This window comes from Homo sapiens, chromosome 6 (assembly GCF_000001405.40).
Source record: "Homo sapiens chromosome 6, GRCh38.p14 Primary Assembly".
In the NCBI taxonomy this organism is placed as follows: domain Eukaryota; kingdom Metazoa; phylum Chordata; class Mammalia; order Primates; family Hominidae; genus Homo; species Homo sapiens.
Genome location: NC_000006.12, coordinates 93,937,795 through 93,965,197, shown reverse-complemented (window position 1 = coordinate 93,965,197; position 27,403 = coordinate 93,937,795).

The window sequence follows — 27,403 nt, the reverse complement described above, 5'->3', positions numbered from 1 at the left end:
TTTGCTTTTTCATGGAAAAACATTTGTGAAACATTACTGCATACTATGCTATGCTGTCCTCAGATATATATCAGTGTCAGCAAAAATAATTTATGATCTTACCATGATCCTGACTCTTCACTGGGAACCTGAAGTGTTTTCTTGAAGGAGAGTGGAGAACTGCAATTCTGAAAGTTACATGGGGAGCTTTAAACAGGAAATATTTTGTTCTTATCCTTCAAATTTTTGAAGTCTGGGTTATACAAATTCTATATATACACAAAAAGAGAGACTAAGAAAAAAAAGTTAGAGAAAATTACACGTCATTATCATGAAACTACAAAGAAGGTAAGGTGTATTTTGGTACTATCTTGAGTACCACTGTCTTGAAGATTCAAACTATAAAGCAAGAGGCCACCAGACTTCCACTTCTATTTTGTATCATCATGTAAATATTACTTCAATTTTTTTACTGATCAAACAGAATCAACCTTCCTATTAGAGAACATTTTATTAGAAAATGCTTTGAATATGCACTTGGTGAATGGTTGTTATATACAGACAATAAACAAAACCTGGCATTCACAAAGGCATCAGGCATTCTAAAAACTCCTTTTCTGAGCCTATCTTCCTAATAGTTCCCATTATCTACTGCGTGTTTGACTTCACACACATCAGCATATTCATTTTACAGCCCCCTTTGTAAACATTCAAACTCCACTCTGCAAACTTTCAACTCACATTTTTATTTGTGCATCAAACACATCAAAGAACAAAAGATCTGTGGGAAAATTATGCACCACCACATAACTCCTTTTGTCAGAGCATAGAGCCTAAATAAGTATCCCTAGAGTCTTTTATCCAAAGCTTTGCTCCAAAAATGAATTATACCTCCCACTTCCTCATCTTCTACTGTCACCTACTTTGCAGTTTATCTCCTTATTTGTACTTTTCTAAATTCTGATGATATAAAGAAAAAGGAAAAAAGAAATAAGCACATATGTATTAGAAACTGTAGAAAGGCTATCATGACACAATATAAAAGATAAAGAAAATAATGAAAAAATAACGATTACTGACTTACATAGCTCATTAGCTCATTTCTCAACATAAATAAAATATCCTAAAGTGTAGTCAACCTATTCACACATGAAGTAAGGACCAAATCTGTCTAGGAAACAAAGTAATATGAAAACCATAAGCTTAAAGCAATCAGAACTGATGGAAATGGCTAATGAGAAAATTAATCTATTTGCATGGTAGAGAAAGTGGAAATAATTTCTTTCACATTACACAAATCAAGGCTTCATAATTAGATTTGACACAAATACAGGTATAACCTCATTGCATGGGACATTAGGTTGTACTACAAAGTAATTTAAGTTGAAAATGTAAGTTCCATTAAGAAATAAATTCACCGACCTAATAAGACCAGGAACATATTCATGATAAAATAACAGAAAATCAATAACACTTTACTAATTTAAATATTTAGTGTAGCCTGGGAGAACAAAATGAAGGAAAAGAATACTGAAATCTAATTGTATTGCTCAGATTGAGTAAAATGTGAATAGTAAACAAGCAAAATACATATTAAAAATTAAGTGGCACTTTTTTCAATTTATCCCAAATTAGTTGTGTTACTATATATTCACTCAGTGCTAGTTTACTATAGACAGAAAATCAAGGAAAGACTAGCATTCTGACAATCCTAGAATTTAAATTACCTGTATATTCATTACTCTGCAGTTTTATTTACCATTAAAAAATACAAGAACAAGTCAAAGACCTATTATGGTTGGGAAAATGGTGAGAACTTTCAGAAAGTTATATACTAAGGTCTTTCTTATACCTGGAGCTAAGAAAAAATATAAATATACTTTATTTTTACTTATTTGAAAGGAATGGAATAACTATAGTTACATTTGGTTTGATTTATAGTCTGGCAATTGAAAATACTCAAAAGAGAAGGAGATTGTTTGGTAGTCTCTTACATGCTTTCCTTAAATGTGCCAGCCAGTTATCATCAATTCATTTTTTCTCACATCCAAATGTACCCTTAAATATCTGATTTGAGATCATGAACTGCACTCTCTAAGCATTTCTCCTCTACAATGGATATATATTTTGTCACTGGAAGGTGCTGGAAGGGCACTGCAAGAAGGAGAGGGAGCTTATCTTCCCGGATCCAAACTGCTACTTTTGCTCTGCCTTGCTCCTGCTACATAGAATGTCATCAATGTGTGTGTCAGTGAGGAGGGTGGAAGAGAATTCCCCCAAACTGCAAATCCCTCAGTGACCTTGCTTCCTTGGCCCTGACCCTGACAACACCTTGTCATGGCCCTCCTTATGCAGACATTGCATGATCTAAGACATGTGCCTGCAGTGCCTGGACCCCATCTGTGTGCCTACACACCAGCTTCAGCTTGACTATGACTCACAGAGTTGCTTCATGTGGCCTTCCCAATGCAGACTAAGAGCTCCAAACCGCCTACAGGTGGTGGCTCACTGACTTCCCTGTTTGCCTGCACACAAATGTGTCTTGCCTTTGCTGTGGAAGGCTGTTTCCTGCTTGCACAGTGACTATGGACCAGATCTAGCCTGGGCAACAAGGTAAAATTTTTTGCCACTCATTGGGTTACAACTATATCTTCTTCAACAAGGCCTTGGAATGGGACCTCCCTTCTCAATTTGTCCTTTCTGAGTGACTTTCTCTCTACCTTAAAGCATCCTTCATAGTTCTCTTTATATTTGTATACTAGCCTTGTATGTCAGTGGTCCTTAGTTCCATCCCCATTTTCCATAATTGGCTAAGACTAACAAGTCTCAGCATGTATTCTTATCATGGCTATAATTTATTACAGGGAAAGGGTACAAAGAAAAATCTGCCAAAGGAAAAGTAGTATTGAACGAGGTTCCAGGTAACAAGAGTCTTCTCCAAGTCAAGTCCCAAAGAACTCAATTTTTTCAGCATCAAATACTGACAACTATACGTGAGGGATTATCTATTAATGGAGATCATTAGAGATGCAGCGGCCAGGGCTTTTATTGGAGGGTGGTCACATAAGCACCCTCTTACCTAGTATATATCAAAATTCTAGACTCCTGAAAGAAAACAGGCGTTCCACATTAAACAGATAATTTTCATAAACAGGTTAGGCACTGTGAGCCATTTTTTATCAGGGAATGGTTGAAACCCTTCTAGAATCCAAATTTCCAGAAACCAGACAAGGTCCAACCTTGGAACCAATCCTTTCTAAGAATAGTCATTTCAAGCCTGTTAACTATTTTTCTTCACACCTAGCATCGTTTAATAATTCTTTATATTAAGCTTCTTCTGTTGAAATTGTGGTGAGGTTTCTATCTCTTAATTGAACTTAGACCAATATGCATACAATTACTTCTTGGGGCATATTAGATTTTTTCAATGTTACACTAACTTCTAGTCTCTTCAGAAAATACTTAGAAAATTACTGCTGCAGAATACTAAATATTATCAGAAGTTAGCCTCATGACACCAAACAACGGCTCAATTTAGGCAATTTAGGAGAGGAAATTTGGACAGCTGGTAGCTAGGTTTATGTCTGTGCCCAAAAGTCATTTTAGACTACAGCAAGTAAAAAAAGGAACAAGTGTGAAGTCTGTGAGACATGTTCTTGTTTTTATGTTAAAAAAAACTTTTCTTTCAACTATTTTGCTATATTTTGAATATTCAAATTATTTTAAAATATTCATTAAGAAAAAGGATTGGCTACTTTAAAATTCTATGAGCTTAAACATAGGAAATGGGAAAATGTTAAAACTGGAGATAGCAGAAGCAAAATGTATTTTACACATGTCCTACGAAACAGGTGGGAAATTGAAAACGTAATGCAATCATGTGGGAAACTCATTCTGAGTACTTTCTGATAAGGCAAAACTGCCATCAAGCCAGGGTAGTACCCAGGCTACTGTGTTAACCTTTGAGTTTTATTTATTTAGCTCCAGCAAAAGCTAAAAAGCAAAAGCTGAGTTGAAAAGGGCCATTTTTTTTCCTGTGGATTTCAGATTTATTGAATTCTTGGAAAGCAAAACTGAAGAATTCCTGACTAAAGGCTTTCTGGTAAGTACCTATGAAAAGCTATGATTCCTATGCATAGCAGGATGAAGAGAGACTAGCATACGCCTCTCTGATGTTGCAAATAGTAGATAAAAAGTAGAGGCCATCTGTCATCAAAACTCCCCTGAGAAAGTAGGTTCTGTTTGGACTTTGGTGGTAAAGAATCAAATAATTTCAGAAGGTAAATATGCTGTACTTAAAAGCCAGCCAGCCTAGCCCTATAAGTTTACAGGTAGGGAGCTAAAGACAGGAGAGAGAACGTTATATGCCAAAGAAGCACAAGTTATGAGTACTTTCTGATTACTAGTAAGATAGTAGAAACAGAATTAGTAACTATAATACAAATACAAGTCAATAATCTTTTCATAGACCATTTGATCCTATTAGAGAGAACACACAACGTTAGAAACTTATGACTCCTAACAGAAAAGCTGAATAAGAATGCAATGTGGTAGGCATCAAGAGAGGTTATGTTAAAATCATCGTATACTTGAAACATCAGGGAGGGGACTCACTTTGGATTTTATAATTTACCTTTCTTTTATCTGCTATATATTTTATACAAGTTTTTAGAGGCCATTTTAATTATTACTCTTCCTGATGATTTATCTAGTATATCTTCATGTAAACAGCATAGTTGATTTGAGAGGTTTTTGGTTTTGCTTTTGACGATTTACACTGGTCACATGAGATCCAATGTATCAGATGCCTAGCACCAGTACTTCAGACTAACATTCAGCAAGAGTTAGCACCCTTATCTTGCCCTACTATATTTTACACTTTCTGACAGTCTGTAGCATTGCCATCCTTATTATCTTACAACAGTAATTTAATTATGGCTTAAAGTTTTAATTCAGCTGCCAAATACAGACATGATTCATGTGGTCTTGAGGTGTTACAGTGTACAGGTTTTTTTCTGGGTCGTTCTGTACACTAATTTAGCATTTAGTGATGCATTTCATCCGATAAAGATTATCTCCTTCAACATCCTTAATTACCTTGGACATCTTCATGAATGGGGAATTGAGATGTTATTTATATTTTTAGCCAATCCTGAGTGTAGGAAAGATAACTCTTATACTCAGGCATATGCATTTCCATATAAGTCTCTCACGTTTGGTCTAAATTTGGCTAATGGGTGGTAGATAAACAAATGAAAACAACCAAGGCAGTCTTTCAAGTGTGTACAGACAGGTCTATGGCCATGGCAGGGCTTCTCTTCTCAGCACTAAACTTCATAATTTTATCAACTTTTCTTTTTATATTACTCTGCTCCTACCAAACTCTTTAGAGTAATCTTATATATTTTCAATGCTTTCCCAAAATAAGAACTCAAAAACTGAGCTCAATGCATCTCATCAATGCAGACTACAATATCATGTTTCTAGTGTACTACTATTAACGGATTAATAAATTACTTTAATATTTTAAACAATGTTTTCATAGTTATCAAATTTCCTGAGGTATAACTTTACACAAATAGCTGTAGAAAAAGAGCCCCCTCTTACTTTTAAAAAGTGAATAAATAAATAAATAAATTTAAAGAGTACAAATTCAGCTTTGTTACATGGATATATTGCTTAGTGCTGAAGTCTGGACTTTCAGTGCAACCACATGAATCATGTACATTGTACTCATTAAGTAATTTCTCAGCCTTCATCCCTCTTCCACTCTCCCCTTTTCCAAGTCTCCAATATCTGTTATTCCACACTCAATTCCAAGTATGTACATTATTTTGCTTTCAGTTATAAGTGAGAAAATGCAGTATTTGACTTTATGTTTCTTAACTATTCTTTTGTAGTGAATTTTATGAACATGAATGCATGTCTTAACTTTTATTTCTGTAGATTGCACTTCTTAGATTTTGATACTTTTTAAACCTCAATTCTATCATTCATTAACTCTTCCAATCCAGTAATGTTTGTATTTGTAGATTTAATAAGAAAACTATCTAAGTTCACCCCCCACCAAAAAAAAAAAAAAAACTAAATGAAGGTGAAAGCCCTATGATGTTAGGTATCAGAGGGTAACTCTCAACTTCCTGATTTCATATCCATTTATGTGTTGTATAATGCAGTTTGGGAAAGAGTCTTTAAAGTACAACCTTTCATTATACAAAAAACTATTCCACTAAATTACTTAATTGGCACTCCTTTAGCGTGCTTACTTAACAAACTAAAAACCTTTCACTGAACTCAGAGCACATTTCTTGAGATTTTACACAAAGATACTATGAAAAATTTTGAAAAAGCCATGATGGAGAAATTACATCTTAGATATTGTTTCTATAGTTGTTACTTTATATAGACTCCTTGCAAAACGGATATGGGGCTAGTTTAAAATGATTTCTTTTATAGGCATCCCATAATGGTTTTTGTTCTGATCCTTTCAAAGGTATATATCCAATACATTAAATGAATTGAAAGTGTATTTCATCGGAAATCCACAAAAATACATGCTAGAGGAGTGATATGGGGAAAATGAGTTAATTGGATTTTTCACAATTGGACTGCAATACTAAAGATAGAAGTAATTGTTTCAAAAGTTAAAAATTATTTAATCGGAGATGAAATTTGGACATCATTCTAGGAAATACCAAGACCAGGATATATTAGTTTGTTGTCCAAAACTCTGCAGGTTTATAAAAATAGCTTCTCCAGTGACAGAGAAACATGTTTGGTTTTGTATAACAGCAAAAATTCAATGGAAATATAGTTGATTAAGAAAGATAGAGCAAGGTGGGACAAATGACCCTATTGACCCTATTGAGACAGAAAGCCACAGTCCGTGTTCTGAAGCCAGGATTCAGACTCTTGACATTTGGGCCCCAAAGTCTCTGCTCCTATTCACTTCAGTATGCCACTTTTTGTTTGTAATTCGTGTCTCAGTGTGGAAGTCGAACGTTTGCCCTGTTTGGAAAGCAGCTATATGAGCAATTCGGGAATTAGAGTTATAAAAAAGGCATTTAAAATAATCTATAACGTTAATACTTTAAGCATTCATTATCATTCCTATCATTTAATCATTATCATGTAATTGTTATTACCAAGACTGATAGAGATAGACATTATACTATATAAGTTTTACCTGCGTTTCATATATGTTTTTTGATTTACATGTTATAGATATATGGTTTACATATTATAGATATAACAAGAAACGGACTGTCCCTCCAGGTTTCTCATTTTTAGTCTGCTATTCTTCTATCCTACAAAATAAGTTAAAAACCATTGGAAAAAATCACATGGAACAGGTCTCTTAACAGAAGTCAACTGAGCATTTTATGCACTTTTGTTTCCAGCTTTACTGAGATGATTGACAAACAAAACGTAAAAATATTTAAGATGTACAACAAGATGTTTTGATATATATACATTGTAAAATGATTACCACAATCAAGCTAGTTAACATAGATCTATCACCTCACAGAGTTACCACACTGTGTGTGTGGTAGAACACTCCTAAACTATTATCTTAGAATAGATCAGAGAAGATAAGCCTTATTCTCAAGTATACATTATTATTAATTAACTATAGTTACTATACTATTAGGTCTCCTGAATTTATTAATTCTTTAACTAAAAGTTGTACCTTTAACTAGCGTCTCTCATATCCCCTGCCTCCCAACCTCTAGTAACCACTCTACTATTCGCCACAATAAAATATTATTCAGCTGTTAAAAAACAGAAGACAAAAAAAGAAAGAAAGAAAGAAAGAGAAAAAGAAAGAAATCATACTATTTGCAACAATGTGGATTAACCTGGAAGACATTATGCTAAATGAAATATGCCGAGTACAGAAAGAAAAATGCTGCATAATTTTACTTATGGTGTAGAATCTGAAAAATCAAACTCATGTACTTTCTTAATAATTTACCCTTGTTTCCTCTCTCAAATTATTCTAAGATTTTACCATCATTGGTATTAGAGTTAATTTGTTTTAGAAAAAAATAGCTGTCCAACAGAACTTTGTGATGATGGAAATATTATGTTGTGTGGTGTTCAAAATGATACTATACTTGTGCAGTTACTGTGCACTTGAATGGTGAAGCCAGCCAGGCCTTGAGGTGGAGATAGGGAGCTGATGATTAGCTAACAAAATACAGGTAACTAGAAGGAAGAAGACCTAGTGTCTGGTAGCACAGTAGGGCAATTAGAGTTAACAGTAATTTATTGTACATTTCAAAATAACTAAAAGAGGGAAATTAAAATGTTCCTAACACAATTATCCTGATTTGATCATTGCACATTTTATGCTTGTATCAAAATATCAGTGTACCCCATAAATATGTACAGCTATTATGTATTCATAATAATTAAAAATGAAAGCACTGTAAAATGAAAAAATGAGACAATGTGACTAAAAAACTGAATTTTAAATTTTATTTAATTGCAATTAATCTAAATTTAAGTAGATATATGTAGGTATTGGTTACCATACTAAACAGTGCAGTTATAGAACATAACATTACTGGTTTTTGGAATAGAGTCATTTGATCACCTTAACCTGGAACTTCAGATCTGATTTCTCTAGTGAAAAACTAATTTATTAAAATAAAATGTTATGCAGACAATAATATATAAATCAGAAATGGGCGAAGCCACCCTGGTCAATGTGTCAAGGAAGGGGAAACCTGGATTTTGCAGAATGAGTAGAGGTTAGCAGCTGGACTCTCAGCTCCCTACTTACACTCACATCAGAAACAGCTAAGGGACCACTAAGACACTGAAGAACATGATTTGAAAGCAACTGATGAAAATGTTTCAGTGCCTCTGGCATCTTTCATGATTTCTTAAATATTTATAAAATTCATTTTATGATTAACTCATTTTAAAAACATTTTTCAAGAGATTTCCACTGTGCTATCAGCAATGATGCTAAGATTAATAAAACACAACTATTGCCCTCATGTAACTTAAAATTTAAGATTTTGTAAAAATCCAACATTGCAATTTTAGTGTGTTAAATTCTATAGATGATATAGGTATGAAGAACAGGGTGGGTAAGTTCAAAGGAAGGAGAAATAATGCTTCACTGAAGACATAACACATAGGCTGAGTCTTGAAAAATTAGCGTGAATCAGGAGGACAAGGGGTGTAGGTTGGGGCAGGATATCCTCAGTACACAAATTCTTGTAGTATACTAAGTAGTCGTTATTTAAAGGTAATGAATGTTCTCTTTACCCAGAGCCAGGTAAAATTTTATCTTTTCTTATTTGTTGAGACTTAATCATTTATTATAATCATTTCTTCATTTTCTAATTAAAAGATAAATATCTTTGAAATAAATGAGAAACCAAATAGTATTTAAGTCCTTTTGCCTTCTCTATTATATGGATTCTTTAAGCCACATTTTTCCAACTTGAAAATAAAATCAACTATTTTGTCCCTGCTTTCAACAGATCTAGTAAAGCAGTGAGGAGAGAGAGGTGCTCCACTGGGAATATTATAAAAAATGTATGTAGAGGTGTATACCCCAGAATATCATGTGATAAAGCAGCTATAAAAATGATAATTTATTTGTGTGGGAATTTATAGTTTGTAAACATTTTCATATTTTTATTTATTTGTTCTGAAGTTATAGTGGACAAATAATTATTTCTGGTCAAATAATTATTTCATGTTTTATGAAAGCATGTAACAAAAACAAGTAATCCCTGATTATTGCAGAAATATCTGATGTTTTATAGATTTGTCTTACCTATTTCAAGAGGCAGGCAATCTTAACAAAAAATAGATGCCTACAGAAAAAAAGAGATAGTTTTATCAAGTTAACCCCAATTACATTAATTTGGAAACATCTGAGCTTGAAGAAAGAGTATTGAATCATAAAAAGAAAGGTTGTAAAAAAGAAATTAATAACAAGTTAACAATAGAGCATAGAATATATTTTAATTATAATAAAATATCAGGAGTCAAGAATAGCTAGTTGAAAAGTATAAGGACTCAGGCTATCCAGTTAAAAATCTTTTGGCAGCAATGCTTGTGGTGAACATTCTATAGAACATTATATGTAAATACCATAGGTAAGAATATTTATAAATAAAAAGTTGTTAATTTCATACTCAGAGGACAGATGATAGTATATAAACAGCTATAGACATTAAGTAGAAAAATTATCTTCTTTAAAAATGAACATCTATTGAATTTCTTACATGAAAACCATAGTTACCATTTTCTTTTCTCAAACATTGTTACATTAATGTTCACTTATTGTCTATACATTTTCCTTCAAGTTGACATAAATATATGGGTTACAGACTGTAGGCAACTCAGAGAGTATTACTTCTTGATGTTCATTGGTGTCTAGCTGATTTATTTTTGAACACTCTGCTATGTCTATCCTGATGGCGTGTGCTATAATGATCAATGTGAATGAGATGTATTTCCTGACTGAGCCAATATAAAAAGCATGAAAGTGAAACATTGCAGAAGGGTAAAGTCATTTTTATTTCTGCTTAGAAAAAAAAAACATACTTTACTGCCTTTGACCTTTCAGTGTTTTTTTGTGTTAGCCATCATATAATCCATTCTTAAAAAAACAATCACTTCCAAAGTGGCATAAAATAAACAAAGATATTGGGTAGAGGATGAAAGTATTCAGTAACAACCAATGCATAACAGAAAAGAAAGATTTGCAAATCATCGACTACAATGTATTTTTGGTTAAGGTTTTTTATACATATCAAGATTTAAAATACATTTTCAAGATGTAAAATATATTTTCAATATGTTTTCTCATGATTCCTCTGAAATTCTGTTATTTCTATGCATTCTTTTTGTATTTTCATCAAGGTCTAAATATTTAGATATATAAAAATGATTAAATACAATGTGGGGTCTACTTTAGTTCAAACAATAATAAAATTGTGAAATTTAAAGAACATAAATATTTAAAAACTCCTACTTATTTTTTATGTATCTTAACTTACTATTGTAGTTAAGTTTCTCATGATTTCATTTTACAAAGGGAGAGGCTGAGGTGATTAAGATGCTTGCTCAAAGTCAAGCACTAAACGATGGTTTAGTAAGGTCTTTCTGATTCCTGAACCATCCTGTTCTTTGCACATATGTGTGTGTGTGTTTGTGCATGTATATACACACACATATACATATATATATACACATATATATACAAACATAGTCTAAATGGCTTAGACATTGCCTAGCTAAGTGCCCTTTAGACAGAATAACTCATTTAAACTTCCAAAGAACTCCATCATGTAAGTACAATTACTCTGCAATTTCTCAATGAGGAAACAGAGAGAGAGTGTTTAGGTGACTGGCCCAAGGTCACAAAGCCAGAGAGTGAAGCCATATATATATATAGTGGGTATGGGGGTGGTGTGCATGCATGCACATGTATGTATTTATGTGTGTGTGTCTATATATAGATATATATCCTCCTAAATACTATCAATGTTTCTCTATGTAAAAACATTATGGATCATCTAGACAACGTTCCTTGGTTTTTGGTTTGGGAAACTAAAGGACTAAGAAATTCTGTGAAGAGTCCAATTTTAATAAGTGAGTTGGTGTGAGAGCCAGAAACTAGAAAATGTCTCTTGAACTTCCTCTAGGGTACTTTTCATTACATCATGCTGTTTCTGTATTATTACCATAAATTTTTGCCTATTCAACTTAACATATTAATGCATGTTTTAACCAAGGTGTGAAAATACAGAGATTCTGTCAGTTGGCTGGCATTAATAATGACCCCAGATATTAATGGTTCAGCAGTTTTTACCCCTAGTTGTGCTCCAGAATCAATCAGTGTATATAATTATTGTAAATATAAATGTGCAAGTGTAAACCTTGGAGTTTCTGACATAGTTGGTCTATCTTGAGGCCCTAGAATTTGTGTTTTAATAAAGTTCTACCAATATCATCATACAAACAGTAACAACAACAATTTTAGCTAACATATAATCACTTAACAAAGCGGTCTCAGTGCCAGACAATGTCTAAGGCTTGTAGACAGGATAACTCATTTAAACCTCCAAAGAACCCTATCATCTAAGTACTATTACAATGCAATTTCTAGATGAGGAAACTGAGACAGAGAGAGTGTAGGTGATTGAGTCAAGGTCACAAAGGCAGAGTGTAAAGCTAGGATTTAACCACCACTATCATGGACCTCTGTGATCTTAAGCAATACATTACTCAATTTCACCAAATCTCTTCTTTGGGGAGAAAAAAAATTAGAAAGATGGAATCTTAATAAATATTATGCCTATTCATAGATTAAATAGAAAAAACTAAATGTCTTTTCCTAGTTACAAAACTAGTGAGAGACTGAATATGCTACTCCAGGCTCAGTGTTTTTTCTCCAGCAAATTTACCTTTCCATTATAGCAATTTTGCTTTTCTCTAATTGTGATATTAAATGTAATATTAAATGTATTATTCATAATTCTCCATTACAATAAATCTTTGGTTGTATAATACAAAAAGTTGATCAGAAATATATTGAGAAACTAAGAGAATTGCTAAAAAGGTGGTTCAACACTCAAGTTTCAGGAACAGTGGTCCAAAACACTCCAGGAACTGGCTTGAGAAAAACATGACGGAGACTACTGCTACCTCTACTACGTTCAGCTGCCAGGAACTCAGTGTGACTGCCACCAAGACTCTGATGCATTGCCATCAGCTCTATAACCACAGTCAAAATTTTAACCACTATTACTCCCAGAAATCCACTAATCAATTTTGCCATCTTGCCAATGAATAGACCCTACACAGAGTGTACTTACCCATGGGAATTACTGCCAGATAAAGCTTCACCCAGGCAAGTGCAATTGTTGAAATACTGAGTTATGGTCCTGTGCCATAGCTGCGAGAGTGAGAACATGCACTTCTTAGCCTATGTCTATTTATAGATTGAAGAGAAAAAGCTAGGGGAGGTAGAACTCCTAAAGCAAGCAATTCTCAAAACACAGCAAGTTTGTTCAAGAGATACTAGAAAGCCAAAAAACATTGGGATAACAGATTTAGGGAAGGATGATGTTTATGTGATGAGATATTTGAAATCCAAGCCCTTGGAGTGTTAGTTGGATGAAAGGATATACCATTAGGAGAATCCCTCAAAAATAAGTTTTAGCTGTATTATTTTAAAAAGGCTGAGAAAGTTATTTTCCAGTTCTGCATCTTGGATTTGGAGGCTTCTGACAGCTTAAGGTATATTAAAAATAATAGAATCTCAGAGAAAAATCTAGATTTCAATACTACTAATATTTATTACTAGCAATGTAGTCCTGGATATGTATTTTTCTTTCCATTTCTGAAACCATATCCCTATCAGGGAAGTTGAAATAATATCCCTTTCTTCATAGAGTTGTGTGAGAATTAAATGAGATAGTACAAGTAAAATACCTTATACCAAACTATTAGTCTACTTTCTTCATCCCCTTTGGGGAATTTTTGCAATATATTGGAGATTTTTGAAACCAACATCATTAATTAAAATATATGCAAATTATTATGCTTATGGGTTTTCCAATGTAACTTGACCACTCCATCTATTATGACCCACACTACAAAAGAAAAGACCTAACTACTCCTAAATACTATACCTACCACTGAACCTTATTTAAGTATCTATTCATCTATTTATTTGAAGGCAGGAAGAAACTGTGAGATTAAGATGGCTAGACCGCCTACAATCATACAACATACATTTTTCCTTATCTATTCATTAATAGAATTATGATTTTATTTATTGAGATAATGACTGCTGGAAACCTGTGGAGTGCAGACCATTTCAAAGCCATATGGCTATGCGATTGATTTGTAGAAAGTGCCATACGGAACTTCTGGAAATGTGTGTTGAAAGATGGGGTACCTTTTAAATTTCCTTCTCTCTCTGATTTTCTGCTCCTTGGAGCAAGATTGTAATAACTGAAGCTACGGCATCTTGGTCATCGTGGTCCATGAGATCAATCTGAAAATTAAAATCACATTGGGCAGAGAAAAGAAACAGAAGGAACAAGAGTACATGATCACTTTGTGTAGCTGCAGCATCACCCTTTCCCTGGACTTCTTATACATGAGAGAATAGGTATTTGTGTGTTTTAAAACATTTATGTCTCAAACACACATTACAATAGCCAAACTCAAAACGTAACTGATCTATACTGGCTCTCATTTAAATATGTATTTCCAGTACTTATAACGGTACTTAGCAACAGTAAGTATTTAATAAAGGTTAGATTAATTAATTAATGTATGGCTTTAAGCCAAATATAAATGACTTGATTTATCTATTATTTTACATTTTTGGAAATACTGATTCATACAATCCAATTGCCTTCCATTAGAATCTTAATCCATGGTTCATTGTACTATAGAAAATGCCTAAGGTCAGAAATTTCATGTATAAAATTTTGAGTTCTAAGTTCGAATACATACAAGATGGACTAAATGGCTGGTATCATGACTTACAAAAATGTCATGATCTTTGCTGGGCACAGTGGCTCATGCCTATAATCCCAACACTTTGGGAGGCTGAGGAAGAAAGATCACCTGAAGCCAGGAGTTTAAGACCAGCCTGGGCAACATAGTAAGACTCTGTCCCTACAATTTTTTTTTTTAATTAGACAGGCAGGGTGGCATGTGACTGTAATACCAGCTATTCTAGGGGCTAAGGTGAGAGGATTGCTTGAACCTAGGAAATTGAGGCTGCAGTGAGCCATGATCGTGGCACTGCACTCCAGCCTGGGCAACGGAGCAACACCCTGTCTCAAAAAAAAAAAAAAAAAAAAAAAAAAAAAAAAGTCATGATCTTGACGGAACTTATGCTGAGAAATGAAATTTATATATTTTTATCTTTTACTTCAAAAAAAGATTAAATAGAATAATTACCTAAAGATAAGAAAAATATGGGATCTTTATTTACTTTTTCTAAAAATAATAGTATTCAACATGGAAAGCCAGTGAATTAAAGTTGACCTGTCTCTATTTGCTTCTTTTGCTAGAGACCTTCTCAAGAGCATGCAAAGTATTCTTTTTAGCTAACTTTTGGCAAATGTGCAATAGACCAGAAACAAATTTTACAGGAGGAGCTCAATCTTGTGTGTTTGCTATTTTCAATGGGTAATTTAGTTCCAGCATGAGAATTGTTTCAGAAAATAAGCACTAATAGGAATATGAACAGTGGATATAAAAATTAATATGAAACATGCAATCTATTTACCTTTTCTATTCTATTTCTTGTTCTCTCTTTTTTCTAAAAGCCTGGCTTTGTCTTTTAAAGGCTTCCCTTGTATTATTGAGAAAGGTATAGGAATGAGATGGGATACAGAGTACAGTTGGAAAATTGGTTTAGATACAAGGGAGAGACACCTGAGACAAAGGAGGTAGAGCTTGACAGCAAAGGTGATGAACATGTAGCTGTACGATAAGAAGATGGTAAGAGACTTCTGAGCTGATGTCTGTTTTCTATGGAGGAATATTGTCCATCAGATCAAGTGTGTGGTTTGGTGATATTAAAATCTTAAATTTCTTTCTTGACATTTTTGTCCGCATGATCTATCCTGATAGAAGTTTGTGAAATTCTTAACTATTGATGATGGAATTGCAAATTTTCTTCATAATCTGTAAATATTTGTGTTATATACTTAAAAGCTATTTCCTAATACTACAGGCCTGCCTTCTTTTTTAGCACCATAAATTAGACAGTTTATCATATATTTTATACAATCAACCTATGTTTGGATATCCTATATTCCTTCCTACATCAGAGACTTTCATTATGAGATCATTTTCTTTAATACTGAAGTTTATTGTATGCGGGACCTAGTTTGTCTGCCAGCTCAGATTTGCTTGGTTCATTTCCTTTCTGTCCTTTGCCTTTTGTTAAATTGAAAGACCCTGCCATATATCTGCTGCTTTCACCTAATCACCTGAGAGCTATGTCTATGTGAACCTTTCTGGGGAGAGAAACCAGGAGCATACAGTCATTTGATCAACATTCTTCTATAGGATACTCCAGAATCTAGTGCAGAGGTCTGATTTGACATGATTCACGCAGTCTACATCTACTTCCTCCACTCTGGGCTCACTTATTGTGCTTTCTTTCATATTTGGCTTCTGGATTCTGGAAACTTTCCTCACTTTATGATTATACACACACACACACACACACACACACACACACTTCACTACTATATACTTAGATAATACATTTTCTTCAAGGACAGTTTTTCGTAACAGCAAATGTAGACGATATGGCTCTAAAGACAAATTATCTAACTTACATTATTCAATTTTCAAATTTTGACAATGCGAATATATTACTTCAATAATCAGGAATACCAAAAATAATTTCCAAAAAGAGAAACAAAATTATAGCATTATCAAATTATATCCAAAATAACATCTTATTCCTAATATACTTTGAATTTTAAATACTTATATTTGGCTCAAGAAAATATTGGTCTCTCTAACAGTATAAAATAGATGGTTTTTGCAGTGAAGCTTGATTTGTGAATACTTTGCACTTGCTAGATTTGAATTTAAAAATAGCTAATATAGAAATAAAATGTTTTCAAAATATAATGAATAACTAAATATACTTTTTCTAATATTAAATAATGTCCCCTAGTTAAATTGTTTCTTTATATATAAATAAATCATAATTTATCTCTATCTCATCTTTTAAGAAACTAATGTGAGAATATTCTACCATAATTATTCAAATCAATAATAAATATAATTTAGCATAGGCAAATGAGGTTAGAGATTATGAAGAGAAATTAATAACATATGCAGATGATACTTCATAATATAGCTTATCTGGGGAATATTTTAGATTAGAAGTTTTCATTGCTCTAGAGGTCCGTAACAGCATTAAAATACATTTCTTGATTATAAAGTAATTACATTTTTTCAGCACCATGGAAACACTTTACTGAAAATGTAGAAATGAGAGGGAATTAAAATGCTTATAACATGTACCCAAGTACTTCTGAATTACCAAAAGGCAATCACTGACTCCAAATAATCAACTGAAAAAAAAAACAGAAAATGTATGAATAATATTATAAGTAAATATAATTATTGGGATGATGGCTTTTATAAAAATAATTGTGTGAGAATACATATTTTATAATAATAAAAAGGTAATATGTACTAATATATTTCAAAGCCATATTTCACTAATAGATTGGAGATCTCTAGAGTAGAAATCAGGAATCTACATGCACCAAAGCAACTTGATGATTCCATGTGAACCAAAGTTGAAATTGACTGGTTGAGAATAATATTGTGTACACGGCTCTATACCTTGAGTTTAGGATTTAGAGTTTACATTTCCATCAGTGGGTGACCACTGAAAGGTTTTAAACAGAGAATGAATGTCTGCTTCAAAATGACCTCTGTGTCTATAGTATGGAAGCAAGGAGCACAGAACGGATAGTGATGAGCGAATGTAAGAATGCCAATTAAAAAGCTACTGCAGTAAGTGTTGGAGATTTCATGTATAACATGGTGACTATAGCTAATAATATTGTATTATTATTTATATTTATACTTTGCTAAGGGAGTTGATCTTGAATGTTCTCACCACAGAAAAAGATAATTATGTGATGTGATGGATGTGTTAATTAGCTTGACTGTGGTAATCATTTGGCAGTGTATATTTACGTATATGAAATCATCACATTGTATAGCTCGAGTACTTACAATTTTTATTTGTCAATCACACTTTAATCAAGGTGGTGGTGGGGGGTTTACTGCAAACTCTTTCATGCAGAATTCCAAGTAATTTATATAGATACTCTTCCTTCAAGAAGGTGGGGCATAACTCCCCACCCTTCATGGGTGGGATGTGCATAGTGACTTCTGAGTAGTGTGGAAAAGAGGGGAAAAGATGAGTACATTGACAATGAAGAAACCCAATGAACACCACGTGACCAAGATTAACAACAATAGTGATGTCTTATTTTGATAGCATGTACTTTTGAAAGGTTGTGATGAGAAGAGCATTTTCCTTCTACACTCTTCTCCCCAGAAACCCACGGTTTCTGTTGAATCATTAGGAAAAATCAGATAAATCCCAATGTAAGTGATCTGACCAGTACTCCTGAAAACTCTCAAAGTTGTCAAAAATGAGTGAAGTTTGAGCAACTCTGATAGCCAAAGTGATTAAAAGGAATGACAGACTTGCAGAAGAGTTGATAAAGGAGTAAAGTGAGGAATGCTAGGGGCAGTGAAGAAAAATCTGAGGTGCTAGATGAAAGCCACAACTTTTAATTAACACCAATCTCAATTATTCCCTTGTCCTCTCTCACAATGCTCAGCCACTCAGTGAGCTCGGAACTGTCATGAAAGAGGCAGTATATTCCGTTTAAAGATGATTTGGGCAATGAATTTGAAAATAAAAAACTCACCAAGCTATTCTCATGAGAAATGCATAGACTGAAAACATAAATGCTGAATAAACATCAAGGTGAAAAGTGGGCATACAAAGAAGTCAATTAAGAGGTTAGGCCAAATGATAAGCCAGAATTAAAAACATCTAATGAATCTGCCATGGAAAGACAGATTGGGAAGAGGGAAGAATCTCCAAAATTATTAAAATATTCAAAATAGCTTAGAAACTACTAAAACTGAAAAAAAAAGAAAGGCTTGAATGAAGGGACATTGTGTTCTAACAAAAAGGTAGTTTGCTACCTTTTTATTAGTTTGCTACCTATTTATTGCTATATAATAGCAATAAATTGATTGTGGATTTCTCTTTTACTGAAAATACTTCCTATTCAGCAATATAACCAGAATGTAGTATGCCTGCGGGTGAACAGTTTCTCTAATTTAGAACTTGGGATCTGCCCATGCCTAGCCCTAAAACCTAATTTATTAAAACTCTGACTTCAAGGATGATTCATACTTGGCTTGTTCTCAGCTCCTCAAATCTGCCCTGAGGCCTCTGCTCTGAAGTCTCTTCTGGGTACAGAGAAGTATCCTTCTGGGAGTCCTTCTCTTATTTTTCTCCTAAAATTTTATCAACAGAGAGAATTGTGGTTGAGTCTAAGTGCATTCAATGACATTTGTGAATAAATTGCTTGACCGATTACATCACTTCCCTTCCGTCTTTGTTCTGTTCTCCTCAACCCCTTGTTATGTGGCCACTAAGATTTCTGGTATCTCATATAGGTAGAACACGTCTTTTTTCCATAGGAACCTGTAGTTCTCTGTTTCATTCAAATTAAGCCAATTCTCAACATTGCCAGATGATCTTTCAAGTTTACTCAGCGATTCTCAGTCCCAGTTGCACATTAATAAAGATCTGGAAGACTTAAAAACACTGATGAAGTTACCCAGGCAACATCCCCATAAATTCTGATTTAATTATGTTGGGGTAGGGGCAAGGCATTTTTTTTTTTTTATTTAAAGAGCAGACAAGGCTTTATGATATACAGTTAGAATTGAAAACCACTGAGTTACAGGTGCTAGTAGAATAGAGGCAGTAATTCTTGGCTTTCTGTACTGTCATTTAATCTCTGCTGTTTCCCTACCAGGCTTTCCTTAACTCAACCTCCCCAGCCCTTATTGACTCCAGTAACATTTCTTCAGAATTTCTACCTCAGACCCAAATATTTGTCTTCCATTTTTGGTTCTACACTCCTACAACTTTCTCTTCTAGGAGCAGATGCACTAAATCTGGTGCCCATTGACGTGAAAGGAGTAGTATGATGAAAAGGACAAGACTGTGAAGCCTAGCAAGTATCTTGAATGCATCAGTACATTTTCCACATCTCTCTCTAAATAGAGGAAAGCTCTCATTGCCCTAAGAATTTATATTTATGTGCCAATTTCAGGACGGTGTTTCTTAAATTTTCCTAATCTATTGAACACATATATTGTAATATGCACCTAGCTTCCCATTATACATACAGTTTAAAAGAATGCATCCTCTCAATTTCAATCTCAAGAGTAATAAACATAATTTACTTCTGACTTTAAAGTTGTATACCAAGAACCATGAGGGCTCCCGTTAGGTCATTCTCCAAATGCTTGTGCCACAACTCTAACATCTTAGTCATTACGGTATATTGTACTGTTGGCTTTCCTCAATGATGATTTAATCAGAGGAGCAGTTGGATATTGTACCTGAGATTCAGAATTTCTGATGATGGATCTCCAAGTATAGCCTGAGTATTACTGGGTTTCTTTGAGTCAGCTATGCTATCATTCAGTCCCTGCCTGGATGCCATCTCCTGCCATGCTGCCAGCAAGGGGAAATACAAGTAAGACCAAGTTTCAAATGTGTGAAGAGTAATGTGAAGAAAATTACAGTTTCTTGAGCAGATAGGAAGAACCAAGCTCAAGTTGTGTGTGGAAGGAAGAGCATTACATGATATATCCTACAACAAAACGTTCTAAATTATTTTTAAATATCTCTAACAGTGGTGATATATCTACTAATGCTCATAGAAAAATGCCCAGATGGTTACTTCCAGGGCCTCTTTCTTTAGAAGGTGCCTTTCCTTCATGGTATTTATATGTCATCAAGCTCCAACTTCCTACCTCCTTTTTAGAGCTATTTGAAAAGTGTGTTGTCCACAGGCAAAGACAGAGTTAGATGATGGAGAGAGATGGGACAAAAAGATAATGGGGTTTCAGGCCTCTCTGGACGACCAATGAGAAACTCTTATGGGTTGTGTTAGTCCTGTTTCTCCTTCTCTACTCTACACTAATTACAGCAGTGATCAGCTCTGGGGAAAATATTTAAAGATTTTCCTTAAGATCAACCTTTCTCAACAGGAGAGGAATGAAGTATTGTAAGTGTTTAAAACATAATATTTTCCCTGTCATGATTAGTCATGCCATTCAAAACTTTTGAAGGTTCTTAAATTGGCAAATGGCATGATGAAAATAATGTTTGAGGAAGACAACATCTTCACAGCAAACACTTATGTCACTGACTGATTGCAACCGGAGGGAGGACAAGTAGTTAAAAAACTGTAACTGCAGCTTAAGTACAAGATGATTAAGTAAAATTAATAGTTTAGGGTTTGAATACATATGAGAGAGAATTTGACTTTGAGAGATAGTACATAGAGGAAGAAAATCTTATAAAAACAAACAAATAAAAGAACTTCCAGATTTAAAATGATATCTACATGGAGGAAAAAAAGAAAGGAATCAAAATAACTTCAGTGTGTCTAGACTTACAAGTGATACCATGGTGGTGGATATAATTATCACAAAGCAGTCCTAACCACTGTTTCTCTGAATAGCTTTGACAGTTCTGTCTCACAGTTGGCACTCAGCTTCCATGACTACAACACCCATAAGCCTTCTCTCTGCATCTAAATATTCCATCTGGTACACTAAAACTGGATGACATACAAATGTATATACTTCAAATGAATGAAAGATATCTCACTAAGAGAAAGCTATGGGATTATTTTTCTCTCTTTTCTTACATTTAAGCTCAATTAAGAAGCAATTTTCCCCCTTCTGAGTCATGGTCTTTTATCTTCTCTTCTTCACAGGTATATTGTTGTATTTTTCTCCTTCATACTAAGATGATGGTACAGAATACTGATGAGATAATGCTTACTTTAAAACTGCTCATTTCTTTGAGCACGAAAAACCTGATCTGCATTTTAACAGATGTTCCACTGGTCTGACTTCAGCCTTATGGGGGTTATAGGTAGTCCCACAGCAAAAGGAAGAAAATAAAGATTTCACACTCTAGGTTCTTCTGGATTGGCAAAGGATGAGTTGGAAAACAAACTACTGTACATCAAAAGCAACTGCTGGAGGCTATAGGATTTGTATATTATTCCCAAATTATTTTATCTATATAACAATAGGTCCAATTCTCAGGACAATTACTGTTCAACAAATACTTTTTTGAGGAGTGGAGAAGAAAGGAAAATACATTATATATGGGAACAGGATTGGTCTTTATTTCATTTTTTTAGAAATGTGCAGATAACTAGTGGGACAACACCTGTATTAAAATAATAGTGGCATGCCCCAGTATGAGAAATTCTGCAGCTCTTTTGAAATTGGCATTTCAAGCACTGTGGAAATTTTTTCTTCAGTGGGCCTCTATTATTTTCAGAATTTGAATCAAATTGATGCAGAAGGGTAGTTTTATAACAGTGTCACATTAGAAACTTCCAAAATATATATAGATTATTTCACTGGTGTGATATGATTTGCAAACATCTATCACTTTTGTTGAATTTAAAATGTGTTTACAATTGAAAAGAGAATGTATAATTTCCAAAGAAATTAGCATTTGCCTAACTGTTATGATTCAAACATTTTGATAGCAATGGCCATTTTACTGTCTGAAATCTTTCTGGTATCCCCAAGAACTGACAGAAGAAGCATAAATAGTAGGTTTGTGTTGGTTCTGCTGTGAGAAACCCACTAGAGGAAACAGAGTGAGACAGCCTGTCCTCATCTAAGGAAGCGGTGATTAGACAACAAAGTGAGATCCAGTTATAGGCAAGAGCTGAGTAGACAAAAACAGATGTGGTGGTAATTAACATCAGCCACTAATAAGTCTGTACACTTGCTGTTTTAGGAGCTCTCCTATTAAGATGTGAGATCCAGAAATAAGGGATAATGGATCACGATTTTTTTAAATTTCTTACAGCACCTAACGTATTATATTCAGCTTGAAACACTCACATAAGTAATTAATTGAATAAAATTTACCATCTCACTCTTGATTAGACATAATTATATCCACCCATCATCCTCAGCATACTGCATGTGTCCAAACATGCACTCGCACACACACACACACACACACACACACACACACACACACACACACAGACCGACACATTTGGATGAAGTTAGCCTTGGATGGGGGAAGGAAGATATGATAGAGGACATAGGCATCAGTTATCTAGGAATGTAGCCAAGACATACAGGGCCCAGAGCACCTCGAAGATACTAATTGCAGTTTGGCATGCTTCACATGCTTCACAACTATTCCCTGAGTCATTTATGCTTTTGGAAACTTTAGATAGAATATTGTAATAATGTAATTTGTTTATATATTTCCAAGCGATAGCAATGAGAAGTATGGTGCATATCTATCTATCTATATATATAAAAATATGTAAAATTTCAGTTCATTTATTTATCCAACAAGTACTATATGCATACTATTTATGAGGCACTGAAGAAACAAAAATGAATAAGATGTTGCCCCTTACACCAAAATACTTTAAGTAGAAGTAAATAGGAATTTGCAATATGGACTTAATCTAGTCTTGAAGAATTATTTTTCTTCAAATGTGGATACATATAGACTTATAATTTTTTATAATGTGCCTCTCATCACTTTTAATTAAGCATTGAGCTTGCAGATGTCAATTTAAATGGTGAATGTTGCCATAGTAGAGCATATCTATCAAGGGGAAAATTACCCTGAAAAAATTTCTCCATGTTGCTATTGACATTCTATGATAACTCTGAAGTCTCATATATCCCTGATAATATTTCATCACAGTATAGAACAATAGACTCTCATACCTAGAAGGAAATCAGAAAATAATTAATTCAATTTACTCATTTCACAGAAGAAAAAACTTAGATTCAGAAGGTTATATTCGCTGGCCAAGAGCAAGAAGTTGTTAGTGGCATGGTTAAAAGTAATGACCCATTCTTCACACACAAAGGTACATATGATTTAAATCTCACAGTCATTTCTAAAAGAATGAATGACACAGAATTAAATTAAAGGCATAATATGATTATGCTCATTAATACAAATGGATTCCACTTTTATTGAATGTCAAAACATCAATGCTTTTCTTTGCTGAGTTTGCAGCCTAAATCAAACCAGAAACAATTAAATTGACTTAAAATATTTCATGAAAGATTAATTATAAACATGTTTATTTGATATTTTCTCTTACAAATTTTATATTTCTATTTCTGGCAATATAAGCTTGTGATAAAACAAAGACATAAAGGTCACTAATAGAAACCCAGTGACCCTAGGAAAAATTAAATCATAACATAGATAGTACATTAGATGAAGACATTACATGAAAATTAATATGACCACATTTTATTTGTTTAGCACCATAGTATCAATTAGGTGCTAGAGATGACATTAAGCATGTTAAAAATATTATCACATTAGACCTGCAACAAAAATTGAATTCCAATATAGATTTAAAAACAAGGAGGTCTGTACATATAATTAATCTGTACCTTAAACAACAATATTACTCTTATTGAAAATATAAGTTAGAAATAAAACAATAAATGAGGGGAGGGTAAAGCTATTACATTCTAGAAAAGAGTTGAGCCCTCCTTTTCCCACCCACAAAATGAGTATTTTGGTCTTGATGAGCCCTATAAAATGCATATGCAGAGTATGGAACAGCAGGAGAGCTCCTGTCTGGTGGGTGGGTATGACTCTACGGTAGCAGGATACACACACACACACACACACACACACACACACACATAATGCATTATTTATTAGGCTTTCCTATTTGTGCCCTTTATGCATTAAGATGATCAAATTCACTCCCCTAAGTTCTCATTCTGTACTTATTGTGCAAACAGCTACAAACAGGACGATCTGTTCAGGAAATGCAAATATTTATAATTTGGATATGTAATCTTATACAAATAAACTAGCACTTTATGCATTATTATTTCATTTTCCATTATTTGATTCCTTAGAAAAATATTTTTTGACTTTTGACTGTCTAGGAACTCTCAGATGTCAGTGACATGGAAATGAAGATATGTGTCCCCCTATACACAAAGTAGGCTTACCTAACAGGAGAGGCAGGCAAGGCTAACAACAAATAAACTAATAACAAAAGAAGTTGATTGTTGTAGGAAAATTATATATGGAATGCAGTTTGGCACACAGGAAGTAGTCCAAAGTCATGGAATCATTTGCACTAGAGCTACTATTTGAGCTGAGTCTGGAAGAATTTAACACAGTTTGTCAGGAGAACACTTAGGAAAGATATTTCAGTTAGAGAAAAGAGTTTGTGAAGGAATGAATGCCTGAGTTAGCAGAAACTACAAATAGTTGAATTTTCTCAGAGGATCTCTTGTGATTTGATAAGCATTTTAGGTCCTGTGTAACTTATTACATTTGGCTATAGCAACCAAATTATGTTTTTGGACCTTAAAGCAATAATTTAGCCCCTAAACCATCAGGGCCACCAGCAGAACTACATCCTGTGATGCTGAGCTTGGACATCAGCTGGTGCCTAAAGATAAATCTAGTCTTGGTTTCTTCCTAACTGCTGCAAACACCGCTTTTAAGTTACTGATAGATAAATAGAGGCACTCTCTTAAAAGAAGAATTATACCCTTCTATCAAAATTGTCTACTAAAAACATATTGACCAAAACAACCAAGACTGACTTTTATACCTTTTATATATTTTTGGCAAGAAAGACAATAATGATATATTAGGCTTTTATTCAAACTATTTAACCTCTCTCTCTCTCTCTCTCTCACACACACACACACACACACATATACACACACAAACACACTTCCCAGGTTACATTGATAACTTCCAGGGTTTATCGGGTGTTGCTTTGTTCATTTATTCATGAAAATAGAAATGCCCATAGGCAATAGTATGTAGTGGTCGTGAAGGGGAAAGCACAAAGAAGAAATTTTGGCCCAGCGTTCATGACACTTGGCTAGGATTAGTATATACGTGGCTTCATTTTATACTCTAGTGAATCCTAGATAGGGCCAGAGAGTAGACTACATGAATCATGAATGTCAGCCTGTCTTTTTTTTTTTTTGGCATTACACCATGAAATATTGGCATAATAATTTTATAATATAAATTTAAAACTAATTTTACTAGTAGAAAATAAACACCACTTTAACATTTGGATGCAAAATAAATAATTATATGAGTAGAAATAACAGGGTTATCAAACTTACCATGATCAGCTATTTCCAAGTAATTCTGTTGAAATCCATTTGCTACATGTTTATTCATTTTGTCACCTGCTCTTACTTTAAAGCAGCTGCCAAAGGTTTAAGAAAAGCTAAGCTAAGAAAATATTAAAATTGAGAAAACTTTATCCATTTTTTTTCTTAGAAACTATTGGGAAGACCCTTGTATGAATTAATTCACTTTGCTCAACCTAGCAGAATGCTAGTGTTATTAGTGTCCCAATATTAGAAATTTGTTATTTTATGTCTATAGTATTATATTAAAATTACTTTTCAATATCATTAATTAAAACTTTTACTGATACTAATCACAATTCCTCATATATTTTTGTTTAAACAAAATTTTCAGTAAATATTTAGAAATATGTTATGCTTCCATTTCTGGAGTGGATCACAGAAATTATGCTTATGTTTCTTAAATATATGGAATTACATTAAGCCTTATTCAAACATCATGCTATAAGCAATGCCATTTACATAACTAGGTTCTTTCAGGACAATAACAACAAAAAAGTTTCAATCATCAATCAAACTCCATCCAACCTTGCTGATATGTATGTAAGCAACCACATTTAACATGGTCATGGAAAGTATATATGGCTCCACTCACATACACATTGAATAGAAGATATTTTGTGATACCTTCTCAATTTCTTCTTATTCCTTTTAGAGGAACCAATTTGGAATATAACATTATTTGCAAATAAATATATCTAATATAGTCTTCTGAATTTACTCTATTATTTCCTTCTCTCCCAAATTATTACAGAGTCTCAGTGAGGTACAAGAAACGCAGAGTGGCTTTTTTCATGAAACTTACAAACTGGGAGGGAAAATGGATCTCAGACAATTAAGAATTTATTATTATACTTATGAAAACAAATATATAAAGGAATTGCAACAAAGCAAAATAATACTGAGGGTTTCAGTCAAAGGAATCATAATGAAGCTTAATCAATTTAAATCAAAAATAGTTTCTGGACTTTGCCTTTATGCCTATTTCTTTATAGCTTAATTATCAGGTTTATTTACAGCAAACTCATGTTTCCTGGCAAATATATCAGATACAATTTAATTTACAAATAAAGAGTTTAAAACATACTTTTTTCAGATTTAATGTGTATATATGTTGTATATGAATACAAACACACACACACACACATATTCAAAATGGTAAGACAAAATTATACGTCTTGCTTTCCCCCCATATTTTTCTTAGATTTCCTGTCAAAACCTTTCACAAGTTTTGGTAGCATAAAAACTTGTCATGGAAAAAAATTATTTCATCTATTGTCAAGATAGGGTTAAACAACATCATATTCATTAAAGAAAATGAAGAAGCACTTCATTCATATTTCTGACTAAAAGACATAGGATCAACTAGATCATTTTTTAA